The sequence below is a fragment of the Homo sapiens genome, chromosome 5 (assembly GCF_000001405.40).
Source record: "Homo sapiens chromosome 5, GRCh38.p14 Primary Assembly".
Classification (NCBI taxonomy): domain Eukaryota; kingdom Metazoa; phylum Chordata; class Mammalia; order Primates; family Hominidae; genus Homo; species Homo sapiens.
Window position 1 is genome coordinate 169,655,377 of NC_000005.10, and position 18,823 is coordinate 169,674,199.

Below are 18,823 nucleotides of genomic sequence, written 5' to 3' on the forward strand. Positions count from 1 at the left end.
CCAGTGAATCCATTAGAGGAGGCCCTGGGGAGGGAGTGACGGTCAGGGAGGAGGCAGGTGTGCCACTGTGAAGGAGTCCTTTCATGGGGAAAGGCGGTCACCTGCAGGAGTAGCCATCTTTGGTCCTTTCCACAAAATAGACACTGTGCTAAGTTCTTTATAACACATGATCCTAGTCACTCCTCACCACAACCCACAGGACAGGCAGTGTCATTTCCAGTGCTGGATTAGCTACATGCAACCTCTTAGGCAACAGAGCCCCTAGCTGGGTCTGCAGATTTGTACAAGGATGCTTGTGTAAACACATACACACACACAGACACACACAAAGACACACACAAACATACATATGTACATATATACACATATGCATACCTGTGCATGTAGATACAACCAAAAAACATACAGAAAACCATTTTGTGGGCAAATAATTTGAAATTTGATATGTCAAGACAACTTTAAAAGGGGTCATGGGGGAAATGAGAACTTTGTTCATCTTCCTTATATTTATTTTATGCTTTAGTATTATTTTTACTTGGGGTTGTAGATGAGGGGATACCGTACACTTTTCAGTGTCCAGGGCCTGCAAAGTTCACACTCCGGCCCTGTTGAAACCTTTTACGCAAGGAGTGGACAAGGCTGGAGGAGAGGGGTGGAGACGCTGTCCTAGAGAATTGAATTGGGTCTGTGATTCCACGCACGCTGCCCCCTGCTCACAGCATAACCCTATCTTTTACAAATCTAGTTCTGCCCAGTGGCAGATAAGCAAACTGTAGGTGACTACCAAAGGCAAAGAATGAAAATAAAAACAGCAGCAACTCTCCTCAGTGCCTCTTTCATGCTACTGGATGCTAATCCTGAGAAACAGGCACGAGACCTCACATTTGCAGATGAGGAAATGGAGGCAGTGAAATGACTCATCTAAGGTTGCACAGTGAGCTAGTGGATTTTTTTTTTTTTTTTTAAGACGGACTCTTGCTTTTGTCTCCCAAGCTGGAGTGCAGTGATGCGATCTCGGCTCACTGCAGCCTCCGCCTCCCAGATTCAACTGATTCTTGCGCCTCAGCCTCATTCGTAGCTGGGATTACCAGCATGTGCCACCACGCCTGTATTTTCAATAGAGACGGGGTTTCGCCATGTTGGCCAGGCTGGTCTCAAACACCTGGCCCTAGGTGATTCGTGCACCTCGGCCTCCCAAAGTGCTGGGATGACAGGGGTGAGCCACCGCACCTGGCCCCAGTGGCTCTTTTCTGATAGCCAAGCCCACACTCTTTCCTCCACCCATGCCTGCCAAAACAATGACAAGGCCTTGGTCATTATTTTCTGTGTCCTACATTGTGAAATCCAGATGAGTATTTTTCTCTTCGTTGTATGCAGTTTCCCTGAATAGAAAGCTTGAGGGAATAAACCTCCCACACAGGCTGCCATAGTCAGAGCCTTGCCAGTACCTTTCCCTGGCCTGGTGCCCTGACCTTTACGAAGGCTACTCTGGTGGACTCAAGCCACCTTTATTCATCTCTGGGACACCTTTATCCTTTCTTTGGTTCTGGTTTTCCATTTCTAATTCAATTAGTCTTATTTTAATGTATCTTTGTAAATTAGTCACAATAACTTGCTGGAAAAAGCTGGATATATTCATTGGTAAATGGCTAATAATTTATTAATTATTTGAAAAGACAGTGTTTGGAAGTCTGCTAGAATGATTCTAGCTATCTGAGGAAATATCATATCTCCTGGTACGCAAATCATTAGGACTTCTCATGCATACACTCATGGCCATGCAGAGTTTTCAAATAGGGGATCCAAAGTCTTCTTGGGGTGCCTTGAGTGGCAGAAGGTAATGGAGCTGGAGGGGGTCTGAGAGCAGGTCTGGTGTTGTCTGCCTTCAGATGGGGTGTATGGTCTGTGATTCTGATTGAAAAAAAAAGATTCCTCTAAAAATATAAAAGGTGTGAAAACCACAATGTTAGTCAAAAATTAGTCAAAACTGTGTAGTAGAAAGAATATGGGTGTACCCGTGAAACCTTCTTACAGAAAACTACTTCAAAACCAAAATCCAGCCAACTGAGAGGTGAATCACAATACAAGAATATTGGATTAAAAATCTGTGATAAAAGGAAATAGTGGCTAATATTGGGTCCAAATGAATCGATTTATAAAAATTGATATTAAAAACAGTAGGAATTTCTTGTAGAAGGGACAAACATAAAAAAGCAGTGTGATTTTTTTCCTCCAACCACTTCCTTCAGTCATATTTGGTTGACATCTTTCCTGAGATTTGGTGGCATCAGAAGACTTTATTTAATCTTATATCCATGTGCTGCTCACCCACTTCTTCCCTTTCACCCATTCAAACAAGACCTGGGGAAGGAGTGAGTTTGGGATGTTTTCTTTCCTATTCTTTGTCTTCTCTACTGAAATAAGCCTAATGATTGGCCAGTCCACTGTACAAATAGTCATGTAGTTGAGGAATGAAATGCCAGATGCCCCTGACATCATGATTTTTATGGCTACCATAAAGAATGTTATTGTTGGGAACCTAGACAATATTTTAAAAAATCTAATAAAGTTGAGACTTGGGAGGAGAATGGAAGATAATAGCTAACTCAATGACATCACTTTCACAACAAAGTCAATGAATATTAATTGGAAATAAAACATGGAATTAAAAAAAATAACCACGTCTATCTTTGAATGCTTTTCATAACAATTTTCATTTTAGAGAAGTTTTCAGGAAATCTTTTTAGTGATAAAGAAACATTGAATCAAAGTTCAAATGTCCCTCAATTTCACTTGGTTTCTTTTTCTTCTGCTAAATACAAATAAGATTAAATAAAATTTTTATTTATATCCCAGCACTTTGGGAGGCAGAGGCGGGTGGATCATGAGGTCAGGAGATCGAGACCCTCCTGGCTAACATGGTGAAACCCCATCTCTACTAAAAATACAAAAAATTAGCCGGGCGTGGTGGCAGGTGCCTGTAGTCCCAGCTACTCAGGAGGCTGAGGCAGGAGAATTGCGTGAACCTGGGAGGCGGAGCTTGCAGTAAGCCAAGATCGCACCACTGCACTCCAGCCTGGGAGACAGAGCAAGCCTCCGTCTCAAAAAAAAAAAAAAAAAAAAAATGTATTTATATAGTATCTTCACCATATGCTCATTTTTATGAGAGTATTTTAAAAACCATATTTTATCTTTTTATCTCTCTGTCATTCTATGTATATAAATATAAACGAAGAGTTGACTGGAATGATATTAATAGTGTTTTTCTGTGTAATGGGATTCAGGATAATTCTTTAAGCTTATATGTTTGTACTTTTCTGTTTAGTTTAAATTCTTTATAATAGCATATATTAGTTTTAAACAAACAAAAAAAAATACAGTCTTTAAGTTGGGCATGATGGTGTGTACCTATAGTCCTAGCTACCTGGGAGGCTGAGGCAGGAGGATCCCTTGAGCCCAGGAGTTTAAGACTAACAAGACTCCATCTCTGAAAAATAAGGCAAAAAAAGTATGAAGAATAAAATAACAATCACTTACATTCCAACCACCTATAATTAATCATTGCCAACACCTGAGGATATTTGCTTCCAATCTACAAGACTGCATTATTATTATTATTATTATTATTATTATTATTATTATTATTATTATTATTATTGAGATGGGGGTTTCTCTTTGTTGCCCAGTCTGGTCTCCAACTCCAGGGCCCAAGCAGTCCTCCTGCCTCAGCCTTCCAAGTACCTGGGATTACAGATGCATGCCACCTTGCCGGGCTTTCAATAGTTTTAAAATCTTCCCCACCACCCCCAATAAAGAAGTGAAAAGAGCACTGGCTTTTGAATTAGAAAGTTATTCCCTGCTTCTGCTACCCACTAGTGGAGTCATCTTGGGTATGTAAGCTTTAGGTTTCTCATCTGTTAAGTGGGTTGTTTTCACCTTGCTCCTGAGCTTCTTATGGGGATAAAATGAGAAAAAGTAAAGAAGCTGTCTACCACCAGCCTGGCTCATAGAAGGTTCTCTGTGTTTGTTAATTCCATCCTCTCCCCTATTATGTAGTGCTGTACTGAAACTGGCAGATGTATATTTTTACAACATGGCCCAGAAGCTGAATCTTTTCCTGGAATGGGTGAGACTAGCCCTTCCTTGCCTATGTACTAAATTTACTCAGCTGAATGAAGAGGGAAAACAGGACCCTAAACTGGAAGCTTAAACAAGGGTGAATTTCACTTTTTATTATAAGGATAATATATTGTTATGATAAAAACTCACATAGTTCAAGATGGTACTCATGCTAGGCCATGCTAAGCCTTAGACATCAAATGCTGACTTCATTGCCCATATTATATCTCTCATGCTGCCTCTTTTATCCAGAGGCGGCATAAACATTCTGTGTTTTAGATGTGGAAAACACAGGTAAGTGTATTGAGCAGTAGGAATTCATCATAGAAGGGACAAACACAAAAAAAAGCAGTGTTATTTTATTTCCCCCCAGTCACTTCCTCCAGTCATATTTGATTGACATCTTTCCTGATATTTGATGACATCAGAAGACTTCAATCTCATATATTGTGCAGCTCACCTACTTCTTCTGTTTCCCCAGTTTGAACAAGACCTGGGGAAGGAGGGAGTTTGGGGTGCTTTCTTTCCAGTTCTTTGTCTTCTCTACTGAAATAAGCCCTCTATGATCAGCTTGTCCATTGTAGAAATAGCCAGGTAGCTGGGGAATGAGATGCCAGATGCCCCTGACATCTTTGTGTGAAGCTCCTGGAATGCACTCATACTGTGTTTGGATGTAGTTTTGGGGTGGAGGAACTGTATCATGCCCTCCTAAGGCAACAACTTCCTACCTCCAAAGGCTGACGTGAGAGAATTGCTTGAGCCCAGGAGTTCGAGGCTGCAGTGAGGCATGATCATGCCACTGCACTCCAGACTCAGAGGCAGAGTGAGATCTTCTCTCTAAAAATAAATAAATAAACAAACAAATAAAATCAGAGGAATGAGGGAGGAGATGGATAGAGCATCCTCTGCTTTGAAAAAATAGCGCATTGCTTTTGTTGTTGCTGTTTTCTAGAAATGCAACTACATACTCTATGTACTATTCTGAGACCTTCTGTTCTCATTTGAAAATATTGGAGTGCTTTCTAAGTGAACACATATCTATTACCACATTGTTGGTTTGGCTGCAAAAGCTTGGCACAAGGAGATTTTGAATGTACCCCTCACTGAGGAGGGCACACCAAGAGCCATAGGCAGTGGCTTCCATGCTAATAACTCCTTTGAGGGTGATCTTGACCTATCCAAATTCTTTGCTTTTAATATAAGTGAGGACATTATAAGCACTTAACATGGAATCTTTTTAAAGCACCACCTTGCAAGGTGATAGTCTTTTGTTCAGGTCTGCTGTAGTGACAGGTCACTTTGAAAAGGACTCCATTTTCTTCAGTAAGGCTGCTCCATTATCAGCAGTGTGTATGTGAAGTTTTCCTCCCTTCTGAGTGAGGATGAGGCTCAGACGTCAGTAAACTTCCATTATGTTTCATTTGCGGCATGTCTATTTGCTTTGTTGTGATGGAAATATGTTGAAATGACTTTAGTGCAAAAAAAAAATGATATTATAAATCCATAGGTCCTGAAAATAAAATAGAAAATATGCCCAACTTTCTCTGCATTATTATTATTTTAATTGATTTTTTTAGAAGAATGGTATCTACTAACTCTTTTGGACACTGGACAAACTCTCTGAGTTTTTAATCCAATTTAAGCCTGATAAGACACTATTATTATTCCCATGAGATGTGAGGCACTATTATTCTCATTTTATAGATGAGGGGACTGAGGCTCAGAAGAAAGTATTAACAGGTCCATGATTGCACAGTTAAGTAGCAGATCTCCAACAAATTCAGACTTTCATTGCAGAGCTCATACTCTTTAAAAATTTTTTTAATTGTATATGTTTAAGGTATACAACATGATGTTATGAGATACATAATAGGTAGTAAGGTAGTAAGATAGTTACGATAGTGAAACAAATGACCATATCCATCATCTCACATAGTTACCCTTCTTTTTTGTTTTTGTTTTGGTGGCATCAGCAGCTAAAATCTAATCATTTAGCAGAAAGCTCAAATACAGTACAATTTTATTGACTATAGATCCCTTGTTGTACATTAGATCTCTAGACTTGTTCTTCCTACATATCTGTTACCCTGTAACCTCTAACCTACGTTTCCCCATTTCATTCCTCCCATCCCCTACCCTCCCTGGTAACCCCTGTTTCATTCTCTATGTCTGTATATTTGACTCTTTTTTTTGTTCCATATATAAGTGAAATAATGCAATACTTTCTGTGTCTGTCATATTTCACTTAGCATAATGTCTTCCAGGTTCATCCATGCTGTGACAAATGGCAAGATCTCCTCCTTTTTAAAGGGTGAATAATATTCCATTGTATATGTATATTACAGTTTCTTTATCTACTCATCCACTGGTGAGAGCACTTGGGTTGTTTCCGTATCTTGGCTATTGTGAATAATGCTGTAACGAATATGAGAGTATAGACATATTTGCAAGACAGTTATTTCATTTTCTTTGGATATATGCCTTGAAGAGGAATTGCTGGATCATATGCTAGTTCTATTTTTAATTTCTTTAGGAACTTCCATACCTTTTTCAACAATGACTACCAATCTACATTCTCACCAACAGTGTAGAAGAGTTCCCCTTTTTCCACACCCTCGCCAACATTTGTTATCTCTTGACTTTTTGATAATAGCCATTTTCACAGGCATGAGGTGATATCTCATTGTGGTTTGATTTTCATTTTTCTAACAACTAATGATGTCAAACACCTTTCCATGTATCTGTTGGCCATTTGCATGTCTTCCTTGGAGAAATGTCTATTCAGTTTCTTTGCCTATTTTGTAATCAAGTTATTTATTTTTATACTATTGAGTTATATGAGTTCTTTATAAAATTTTTGATATTAACCCCTTATCAGATGTATAGTTTGCAATTTTTTCCCTAATTCACAGGTTTTTGTTTCATTTTGTTGTTTTCTTTGGTATGCAGAAAGTTTTTAGTAGTCAGGATTCACACTCTTAACCAGTGTATTAGTCTGTTTTCACACTGCTGTAAAGAACTACCTGAGACTGGGTAATTTATGAAGAAAAGAGGTTTAATTGACTCACAGTTCTGCATGGCTGGAGAGGCCTCAGGAAACTTAAAATCATGGTGGAAGATGAAGGGGAAGCAAGGCATGTTTTACATGGCAGCAGGAGAGAGAGAGAACAAGAAGGGAAGTGCCATACGTTTAAACCATCAGATCTCGTGAGAACTCACTTACTATCACAAGAACAGAATGGGGGAAACCGTCCCTATGATCCAGTCACTTCCCACCAGGTCCCTCCCCTGACACATGGGGATTACAATTTGAGATGAGATGTGGGTGGGGACACAGAGCCAAATCACATCATTCCTCCCCTGGCCCTTCCCAAATCTCATGTCCTTCTTACATTGCAAAATCAGTCATGCCTTCCCAACAGTCCCCCAAAGTCTTAACTCACTCCAGCATTAACTCAAAAGGCCAAGTCCAAAGTCTCATCTGAGACAAGGCAAGTTCCTTCCACATATGAGCCTGTAAAATCAAAACAACAAGTCAGTTACTTCCAAGATACAATGGGGGTACAAGCATTGGGTAAATTCTCTCATTCTGAAAAGGAGAAATTAGCCAAAACAAAGGGGCTACAGGCCTCATGCAAGTCCAAAACCCAGCTGGGCAGCCATTGAATCATAAAGCTCTAAAATCTCCTTTGATTCCATGTCTCACATCTATGCAAGGCCACATTGATGCAAGGGATGGGTCCCCAAGGCCTTGGGCAGCTCTCCCTCTGTGGCATTGCAGGGTACAGACCCCACAGCTTCTTTCACAAGCTGGTATTGAGTACCTGCAGGTTTTCTAGGCACACAGTGCAAGCTGTTGGTGGATCTACAATTCTGGGGTCTGGAGGATGGTGACCCTCTTCTCACAGCTCCACTAGGCAGTGCCTCACGGGGGACTCTGTGTGGGGGCTCCAACCCCACATTTCCCTGCTGCACTGCCCTAGTAGAGGTTATCCATGAAGATTCTGCCCCTGCAGAAGACTTCTGCCTTGACATCCAGGCATTTCCATACATCCTCTGAAATCTAAGCAGAGATTCCCAAAGCTCAACTCTTGTCTCCTGTGCACCTGCAGGCCTAACACCACATGAAAGCCACCAAATCTTGGGGCCTGAACCCTCTGAAACAACAGTTTGAGCTGTACCTTGGCCCCTTTTAGCCATAGCTGGAGGTGGAGTGGCTGGCATACAGGGTGCCAAGTCCTGAGGCTGCACAGCAACAGGGCCCTGGGCCCAGCCCACAAAACCATATTTCCTTCCTAGGCCTCTGGGCCTGTGATTGGAGGGGCTGATGTGAAGATCTCTGAAATGCCCTGGAGACATTTTCCCTACTATCTTGGCTGTTAACATTCAGCTCCTTGTTACTTATATAAATTTCTGCAGCTCGTTTGAATTTCTCCACAGAAAATGGGTTTTTCTTTTCTACCACATGGTCAGGCTGAAAATTTTCCAAACTTTTACTCTCTGCTTCCCTTTTAAACATAATTTCCAATTTCAGACCATCTCTTTGTGAATGCATATGACTATATACTTTTAGAAACAGCCAGGTCAAATCTTGAATGCTATGCTGCTTAGAAATTTATTCTGCCAGATACCCTAAATCATCTCTCTTAAGTTCAGATTTTTACAGATCTCTAGGGCAGGGGAAAAGTGCTGCCAGCCAGTCTTTTGCCAAAGCATAGCTAGAGTGACCTTTGCTCCAGTTCCTAAGAAGTTCCTCATTTCCATCTGAGAGCACCTCATCCTGGATTTCATTGTCCATATCACTATCAGTATTTTGGTCAAAACCATTCAACAAGTCTCTAGCAAGTTCCAAACTTTCCCACATCTTTCTATCTTTTTCTGAGCCCTTTAAACTGTTCCAACCTCTGCCCAGTTCCAAAACTGATTCCAGATTTTCAGGCATCTTATAGCAGTCCCCGACTTCTCTCAGTACCAAGTTTCTGTATTATTCTGTTTTCACACTGTTATAAAGAACTACCCGAGACTGGGTAATTTATGAAGAAAAGAGGTTTAATTGACTTGCAGTTCTGCATGGCTAAAGAGGCCGCAGAAAACTTACAATCATGGTGGAAGGTGAAGGGGGAAGCAGGCACATCTTACATGGCAGCAGGAGAGAGAGACAGCAAGGGGAAAGTGCCACATTTTTAAACCATCAGATCTCACGAGAACTCGTTATCACCAGAACAGCATGAGGGAAATCACCCCTATGATCCAATCACCTCCGACCAGGTCCCTCCTCTGACATAAGGGGATTAAAATTTGGTATGAGATTTGGGTGGGGACACAAAGCCAAATCATATCAACCAGTGATAGGTACAAGCTTCCATCTGATCTCAATCTTATTATATATTTCAACACACAAGAAAGAAAAAGCACTCTTAAGCACTCATCACTCATATAAATATCAGCATATCTATATATGTTTATATATAAATATCAGCATATCTATATATGTTTATATATAAGTATCAGCATATCTATATATGTTTATATATAAGTATCAGCATATCTATATATGTTTATATATAAGTATCAGCATATCTATATATGTTTATATATAAGTATCAGCATATCTATATATGTTTATATATAAGTATCAGCATATCTATATATGTTTATATATAAGTATCAGCATATCTATATATGTTTATATATAAGTATCAGCATATCTATATATGTTTATATATAAGTATCAGCATATCTATATATGTTTATATATAAGTATCAGCATATCTATATATGTTTATATATAAGTATCAGCATATCTATATATGTTTATATATAAGTATCAGCATATCTATATATGTTTATATATAAGTATCAGCATATTTATATATGTTTATATATAAATATGGTAGTGGGAGAACTTATATATGTGTGTGTATATTTATATGTATATACACATGTTTATATGTATATACACATGTTTATATGTATATACACACACATATGTATGTGCTTGCTTCAGACATTTGTTTTTAAGAAATAAAAATTTCTAGTGCAATTGAAATCCCTTTTTACCCCTCCTCTATTCTTTTTTCTTTTGTCCATATGTAGGTAACACTTATCCTGAAATCAGTATGTTTTTTTCCCATCCAACTTTTTGTACCTTTGCCAGATGCATACACTTTTTAACTTTGTCTAAAAAAATAGTGTTTGTAGCACTCCTCTGGGGCTAGGTGTTATTTCCCTCACTTTACAGATAGAAACACTGAGGCTTAAGTGACATGACCAAAGGCCATGTGGCTTGGAAATGGCATAGGGAGGACTGGATCTCTAGACCTTGGATTCTTTTTTGATGTTGTGGGATATTTTAAATCTCCTGCCTCCCTTGACTCTTAGAGGATTTGAGACTCTAGATGTATTTGATATTGGTATTTGAGATGTGAAAAGGGAGGATTATTTGAATAATTGGCACTTTATAATTTTCCAAAAGAATTGTAAAAATTTTTCCTTTTCTCATCTTCCTCCAGAATGCATGTCTAGTCAGTCCAGGCTACTGTGTATCATAAACTGCTTAAATAAGAGGAATTTATTCCTCATACTTATGGAGACTGGAAAGTTGAAGATCTAGGCACCAGCAGATCTGGTTTCTGGTGGGGGCCGCTTCTTGGTTTGTAGATGGCTGTGTTCTTGTCATAGCCTCTCACATGGCAGAGAGCAAAGAGAGAGGGAGCAAACTCTCCTGTAAGGGCACTAATCCCATTCATAAAGGCTCCATTCTCATGACCTAATTACCTCCCAAGGACCCCACCTCCTAATGCCATCACATCAGGTGTCAGAATTGCAACATACGAATTTTGGGAGGACACATTCAGTCCATAGCAATGCACACTGTGAATTTTATGTTAAAGAAAGTGGTTATCTCATGAAAACGGTTAGCAAAAAAGCCCTTGTTATTGTTGAATTCAAAAGAGTGTTGAACTCAGGAGCGGGTTCTGGGACATGGTAAATGCCATGTTACACTGAGCCTGCTTTTGATCATGGTGTCCACTGTCCAGGAATTTTTCTCTTTTGTACCAACCGTTGTTATCTGCCCAGTCATGTTTTGGAGCATAGATAGATATAGCTGATTGGTGACCATATTAGGGAACCAACATCAGTGGTCAGAGATAAATGACCTGGCAGAAGTAAAAATGCCAGAAAAAAGTCATAAGGATAGTCCGGATGCAGTTGATGCACTAGGCATGGGTTTGGATTCTGGTTTGGCTGCTTTTCTGCTAAAGAATGTGTTGGAATTTCTTCCCCACCTGTTTGATCTCAGTGTCACCATCCAGCAAGTGGAGATAAAGCCTTCTTGCAATGAATCCCTGGGGATTTATCCCTGGAAGCATGTAGCCCAGTGCAATATACATAGTTGGTGCACAATTAATATTGATTGAACTTGAACCTGGGAGCCAGAATAAGAATATTGGGTGTAAGTGTCAGCAGAATCCTGTCGTCAGGAGTGAGGTGCAACTCTGAGAATTAGGAAACCTATAAGACGTACACACATAACCGAGTTTTGAGGGTCAGAGCAGGCAAACTCCTTGGATCCAGGAAGACAAGTTACCTTAATGGAGTCCCTGTCACAGAGATGCAGATGTGGACATGAGCTTTGTGTAGGGACCATCTATTGGTCCCTCGATTGTTTTTCTGTTTTTTGGTGGATTTTAGTGACCTTAGCCATCATGTGGGTTCAAGTCACTGCTACCAGATGACCCTATCTCTATTTGCACTCTAACCCCATCACATGGGAGACAATGTGGCCAACCAGCTTTAAGGATTGGCTTTGAAGTCACATAAGCTTGAGTTTGAACTCTGGTTGTATGATCTTGGCCCAGCCCATCAATTGACTTGAATATCAGTTTCCTCATCTATAAAATGGGAATGATAATACTTAGCTCACAGTGTCGCTCTGAGGATTAAATGAGAGAATGCCTGTACAACGTTTAGCATACAGCTTTGCATGTTGCAGGTGACCAGTGAAAGACAGGTAATAATAATATTACAAAGTTGCATTTCTGTCTAGTTGGTGAAAAGGGGCAACTAAAGGAGGTTGTTGTAGCACAGCGCAGCAGGGTGTTGCTTGAGTGTAAATCTCAGCTGCATCACCCACTAGCTGTGTGACCATCAGCAAGCTGCTTAATCTCTGTGCCTGTCTATTTTCATTTGCAGAGCTGAAGCAGTAATAGTACCTACTTAATAGGATTGTTGTAAAGATTAATTTACAATAAGACAAAACAAAAAATGTCAACAGAGTTACCAGCACATAGGAAGCACTTAGAAAGTATAAGCAGTATTGTTAATTATGGATTATTTTTCAACAGTTATTGACAAATAATTAGAGGCCACTGAAAATAGAATGTGATGCTTCATGAAGTAGAACATCTTCCATCACTGGAAGTATTCAGGTGGAAAGTAGCTTAGTGGAGATTTAGTTTTGGAGATTTAGACATTGAGAAGTTGGAAATATTAATATTAGGTAACCATCAAATCATTCCCTCATAATATAGGAAGCATAGGTGATAGTTGCTTATGTTGAAAACCTGACACTGCAACCTACTAGCTGTGTGATCCTTGGAAAGTCACTTAACTTCTCTGTGCCTCAGGTAGGCCACTCATTTGTAAAACAGGATAATAACCGTTCCTACTTCATGCGGTTGTTATGAATATTGAAGGGCTTAATATATAAAGAGTGCTTAGAATGGTATTTTTATTTCCCACCTGAGATTCTCTTTCCAACCTCCCTTTCTTCCTTCTGTTTTTCCTCTCTCCTTCCTTTCTCCTTTTCTCCTTCCTCTCACTTTCTGTCACTCAAAAAGAAGCTATCACGGCCCCCTGTTGCTTCAGAGTTTCCTTTAGGACCTGGCCGTCAGGCTGGCTCATGACTATGAAGGGTGACTTTGCATGTTAAGTTGTTTGTTTTTGGGCTTGGTTGTATGTCTGTTGGGAACATATTTCATCAACAATCTGTCAGCCCGGTAATGAGGGGTCTGCTAGTGAGGCTCCTGACAGACGCGTTTTATTTACAAAGATGACAAATGCCACTCCTTGGCTGTGTTGGAATCATTTCAAAGGCCAGCCGACTCATTACAGTCATCAGGACTTGCTGCACTCAGGCGTATTTTGTCTGAGGACTGTGTGTAATTTGGATTTCTGCTCATTGATACATTTTTTAATATAATATTCCTGCAAAGGGTAGATCTCTTAAAATCCCTGTCCCTTTATCTGTCCCTAAACTTACTTGTTTTGTAACGACTAACTTTTGTAAATCGCATTTTAGACACTATTTGCTGCTGTTAGAACTGTCAGTGTTATTTTAGGATGTTTGCCCAAATCAGGAGCATTTCTTTGTCCCGAAGGCAGGAATTGAAAGCATGCAGATGGTCACAGGGCCCAGGAAGGCAATGGACACAAGGGAGGGGCTGCGTTGAGGCTGGTGGACTGGAGGCAGATGCTCTGTCTGGTGGACCCTGCTGCTTTTCTCCTCCCAGCCAGTTGGGAGCACTGGCCAGCACTACTGGGGCTCCTGATTTTTCAAAATCAGGAGCACCTTTATATGAAGTCTATTTTTAGATGTTATTTTGAGATGTTGGCAACCAATTCAACAGATTTCAAAGACTATGAGCTTCCAGAGTTTGATCTGTACCCAAGGTCTAAAGCAATTTGCAGTAGTTTTACTAGTTTAAAACAAAACAAAACAAAACAGAAAAACACTAGCAACAAACTTGTAATAAATGAGGGAACTGTTTCTTTGTTTTCTTTTTGCAGACTGGTATAGGGGATACCTCATAAAGCACAAAATGTTACAGGTAAGGTCACCTGGTTTTTATTTGTGTCAGTACTGGAGGTCTTCATATGGCCCCGCTATCCCATCTGAGCAGGTCTCTCCCACCATTGCTCCTCAGCAAAGGGAATCCATCTCTCCCTCCTGTGCCCTGTGCTCTCTGACCTCTGTGCCTTGTCACTCGCTGTGCTCAGCTCCCTCCCACTTTCCCTCATTCTTTAAGGTTCATCTCTGGTGCCATCTCCCTGCAACTTTTCCTGATATGCCACTCACTTATGATTTCTCCCTTCCTCGAGTCTCTGTGGAATTGTGCGTTATAAATTTGAAATTTATTCTACTGCCTTCCTTTAGAGTTGTTTGCAGCATTCAGTCATCTCCTCATCCGTATACCCAGGTCAACACAGAAAGGACAGGCCTGATTTCTACTTTTGAGGGGTTCTCTTGTTCTAACCTCACATTTCACTATTGTCTCCATGAGAGCAGGCGCTTGCTTTGCTTGTCTCATTTTCTCTCACAGCACCTAGCACAGTGACCAGATGTCCCCAGTATGCACATTGGTTGCATTTATGAAGGGATTTCCAAGTAATTGATAAACTTACCTTGTTAACTGAGCCAAATGTATGGAGTAAGGAAATAATAGAAGCTTCTTCCTTCTTCCCTGACATGCTGTGTCGGGAGGGATGGTCCTATTCTGCTCTCTCAAAGAACAATGGAATAAATGCAGGCAGAATAGGTCTCAAATCGAACTAGCCCAAATGCACCTAGGAACATTGTTGCTTCAGGACCAGTTATTTCTGACCTTCCAGTTGTTCCTGACTGTGAAGGGTGACCGCTTTCCGGAATCGGGCAGGCAATGGGAGAAGCAGAGCTCCTCGTCTCGCTTAAAGTCAGTGAGTGGTTTAGGTTGTCTTTCAAACGATACTGTCTTATAGCCCACCTGCAGGATGAGTGGCCATAATGGGTTGGAGCATCCCTTGGGATCTAGGGCTATGGTGAGATCTAGGGCTATTGTGGGATCTAGAGCAACTGATGGAGAACTGGAGGGAAAGCCAGATCTAAACAAGTAGATTTAGAATCCAGCCCCTGTTCTATCTGGCTCTGGGTTTATTCCTTTAAAGTCTGGGGATTTTATAAGCCAGTAGCTTTTGGAAAAAAATTATAAAGACGTAGGGTCATTCATTTCTGTGGTGATATATCTTTTTATTTTATTTTGTTTTGTTTTGTTTTGTTTCCAACAGGGCATTTTTCCTAAGTCATTTATCCACATCAAGGAAGTGACAGTTGAGAAAAGAAGGTATTTGCCATTCTTCACCAGACTTGAGCCTCCAGTGGCTCATGGATGTCTCTGTCCTGTTTATTTTGAAAATCTGACTTGGAAGAGCTGAGGGTTGCTCAGCTTATCTTCTTTGTGCCTGTGTATATTTGTGGGTCTCCTTTCCGTTACTCAATGGGAGATCTAATCCAAATTGATTCATACTGAGATCTGACTCTGAGGGGGTATTAGTTTGGAGAATCAAACTTTTTGCTGGCAGCTACCTTAGAACTGTATTAAAGTAGATTAATCCTAAATAATGAGCCCACCCTAGCGAAGGAGGACATAACAAAGCAAGTCCCTTGTATTTGCATAATGTAGTTGGTGTGGCTATTGGAGGTGTTTTAGTCTAATGTCAGGAAGGCCCCTCCGCAGCTGCAGCTTAATGCAAATTTGTTGGTGTTTTATCTTGTTAGCACCTGGGTCTCAATTTCACACCACTTTTTCTCCCACCTTAAATAGAAATACTGAGAACATCATTCCTGCAGAAATTCCTCTGGCACAAGAAGTGACAACGACACTTTGGGAATGGGGAAGCATCTGGAAACAACTCTATGTGGTGAGACTCAGAACTCTGCTCCCTGAGTTGGAAGCTTCTTGCAATCTTCAGTTTGGTTCCAGTTTTCATTTTAGCATTGAGTCAGGCAGGTGGAGGTGGCTTTGGTGACATAGCAGAGCGCACACTATTACGTGTGAGGACATCAAGGCCCAGAGAGGATCAGGGACTTTCTCAAAGCCACAGAGCTAGTGACAGAGCCATAATCAATGGAGTCTACTGTGAACCTTCGGTGTTTAGTGCAGAAGTTGTCAAACTTGAGCATGCATAAGAATCACCTTAAGAACTGTTAAAAATAAAGCTTCCTCCCAAGGGGTTTAATAATCTGCATTTTTAATAAACTCAGATTTGATTTGCTAGTCTGCTGATAACACATTGAGAAATACTGTTCTTATACTTTAACCAATGGCTATTGTCCTCACATCTATGAAGAAGTTTTGACTTTGGAAAAACAAAGAATATATTTTTGCATTTGTTTTCCCTGTTTTGAAGCAAATCTAATTTTAAATCCTCCTTTGATGCTCTAAAGCTCCTAATGAAAGCAATTAGCTAAGCAAACCATTAAGCTGAGAGTGAAAATGTCAACCAAGGCTTACTGCATGTTTATTATGGCACCGTGGACACCTGCTGGTGTATGCACAGGATTTGTAGACTTACCTTTCGTGGTCTTAAATGTTGACTCCCATGTGGACATTTCATAATATGAAGATGTAATTGGCACACTCAATTTTACATGTTTCTCAAAGTTTTTAGAAAAGTGTAGGGGAAAAATAGTATCCTTGTGGCTAAAGCAATTTTTTGTTCATCTCCACTATACGCTGACCTTTTTTTTTTATTTATTTTTTATTTTTTTGAGATGGAGTCTCGCTCTGTTGCCCAGGCTGGAGTGCAATGGCATGATCTTGGCTCACTGCAGCCTCTGCCTCCTGGGTTCAAGTGATTATCCTGCCTTGGCCTCCTGAGTAGCTGGGATTACAGGTGCCCGCCACCACGCCCAGCTAATTTTTTGTATTTTTAGTAGAGATGGGGTTTCATCATGTTGGTCAGGCTGGCCTTGAACTCCTGACCTCAAGTGATCCACCCACCTTGGCCTTCCAAAGTGCTGAGATTACAGGCATGAGCCACCACGCCCGGCCTACTACCCCTTTTAAAACATCACAATCACACGTACCATTGAAGCTTGGCATTTTCCCTTAGGAAATCTTTGAATAGCAGTAAGTCCATTTACTCTAGTCAGGAGATCCTTCAACATCTAGTACTTCGGTATCACATTCCTGATTCTTGCCATATCTGCATACAACCTGTGTAATATTTACTTAATAGCTGCTTTGGATCTCCTTTCAGTAAACCTGAATCTATAGACATAAAGAATGAGATAGCATGCTGCATCATTCCAGCAGTTCTTGATTCCCCGTCACCAACTAGATGCCCCACAATTCAGTTCAACGCTGACTACCCAGGGTTACTGCCAGACTCCATGGGTTTAAAGCCTCAATCCCACAAGATTGCCCTCACTTTAGATGCCAGTCGCAAGTCCTGGGTTCCCAGGTTACCTGAACTTCTGTTGGACTTGGCTATAAATTCAGGGATTCTCACTACCCCTCCCTGCCTGGGCACCCCCTTTTTTCACTTCCAGTTTCATAATTTGTTAGAACAACTCAGAGAACTCAGGAAAGTGCTATACATGTGATTACGGTTTTATTATAAAGAATGTAATTCAGGATCAGCCTTGTGGAAGAGACACAGGGCTAGGCATAGAGGGGCATAGAGCTTCCGTGTCCTCGGCACACCACCCTCCCAGCACATTGATGTGTTCACCTTCTGGGAAGCCCCTCAAATGTTATTAACCAAGAGTTTTAATCAGAGTTTCATTACACAGGCATGATTGATTAAATTATTGGCTATTGGTGCTTGAGCTCAATCCTCAGTCCCCCTCCCCTCCCAGAGGTTGGGGTGGGGCAGGTGGAGGGGAGTGGGGCTAAGTTCCAACCCTCTAATCATGTGATTGGGGGTTTGGTTCCTAGTTGGTTCCTCTGCAACCAGCCCCTCATCCTGAAGCTATCTAGGGGCCCACCTAGAATCACCTCATTAGCATAAACTCAGGTATCATTGAAAGGGGATTGTTAGGAATAACAAAATACATTCTTATCACTCTGGTCATTGCAGGAGTTTTAGGAGCACTGCTTCAAGAACCAAGGACAAAAATCAAGTGTGTATATATATATATTTTTTTGTTGTTGTTTTTTTAATTATACCACCCACACTTTCCCAAATGGAAAGACAAAAGTACTTGACACAATTAGAAGAACATTATTCATCTAAATACAATGAAAACAAGATAACATTATTTTTATAAAAAAAAATTTAGAGACAGGGTCTTGCTCTGTCACCCCCGCTGGAGTGCAGTGGGACCATCATAGCTCACTGCAGTGCTAAACTCCTGGCCTCAAGCTATCCTCCCGCCTTAGCCTCCGGAACATGCTTGCTATTGTACCTGTCAAAAGCTCTGAGTCCAAACCTTTTCTCTCTGTTTGTTAAAAAAGACATTAACAATATGTGAGAGGTGTTAGAGACATATTACTATGAAACTGCAACTTTCTCTTTCCCTTACACAGAAGGATGGAAATGGAGTGGGAGAGAATCACCTAGGGATCCATGTTGTTTGACCTTGTATCTTTGTACCACGAAGAGCCATCTTGCTTCCCATAGGTGGTACGCGTGCCACACTTTGGAGAATGCTGCCCTAGAAGCAGTCCTTTATCACCAGAGAAATGGCCCTGGCTCCCAGCCTCAAAAGGCCTGAGCTCTGGGACCTCCATTAGGGCAGATGTTCGTAGCATTCCTGTTCAATAAATATCTTTTTAGATAAAGTCAGAAATCACTCATTCCTTAACCAAGAAATGATTGAGATTTTTATTTTTGCTTTTGGGAAATCCCTGTGGTCCACGGGGAATAAATACATCAACGACTAGGACCCCCACCTAATCCTTTTGTAGTGGGTAGGGCAGGGAGAGAGCCTCAGGCCATG

The 18,823-nt window shown here is 40.8% G+C and overlaps 1 protein-coding gene across 8 annotated transcripts in view, besides 3 other annotated features; it reads left to right on the forward strand.

Annotated features, from left to right (window-relative positions):
- DOCK2 (dedicator of cytokinesis 2) overlaps nucleotides 1–18,823 on the forward strand; it is a 446,108-nt gene that overhangs the window by 18,102 nt on the left and 409,183 nt on the right. For all 8 annotated transcript variants that reach the window (NR_156756.1, NM_004946.3, XM_011534449.3 and 5 more), the window contains exons 3-5: nucleotides 13,912–13,952; nucleotides 15,166–15,221; nucleotides 15,702–15,798. Coding sequence is in view for 7 of the 8 variants with exons in the window: in NM_004946.3 (NP_004937.1) it covers nucleotides 13,912–13,952; nucleotides 15,166–15,221; nucleotides 15,702–15,798 (194 nt within the window). In the remaining variant the exon portion in view is untranslated. The remainder of the gene's footprint in view (nucleotides 1–13,911; nucleotides 13,953–15,165; nucleotides 15,222–15,701; nucleotides 15,799–18,823) is intronic.
- Nucleotides 1,001–1,050: an enhancer, noted in NCBI's record as "active region_23594". NCBI's record gives its function as "activates an Ori minimal core promoter by ATAC-STARR-seq in GM12878 lymphoblastoid cells {active_cell/tissue: GM12878}" and the evidence as "EXISTENCE:reporter gene assay evidence [ECO:0000049][PMID:35858748]".
- Nucleotides 1,351–1,400: an enhancer, noted in NCBI's record as "active region_23595". NCBI's record gives its function as "activates an Ori minimal core promoter by ATAC-STARR-seq in GM12878 lymphoblastoid cells {active_cell/tissue: GM12878}" and the evidence as "EXISTENCE:reporter gene assay evidence [ECO:0000049][PMID:35858748]".
- Nucleotides 1,431–1,480: an enhancer, noted in NCBI's record as "active region_23596". NCBI's record gives its function as "activates an Ori minimal core promoter by ATAC-STARR-seq in GM12878 lymphoblastoid cells {active_cell/tissue: GM12878}" and the evidence as "EXISTENCE:reporter gene assay evidence [ECO:0000049][PMID:35858748]".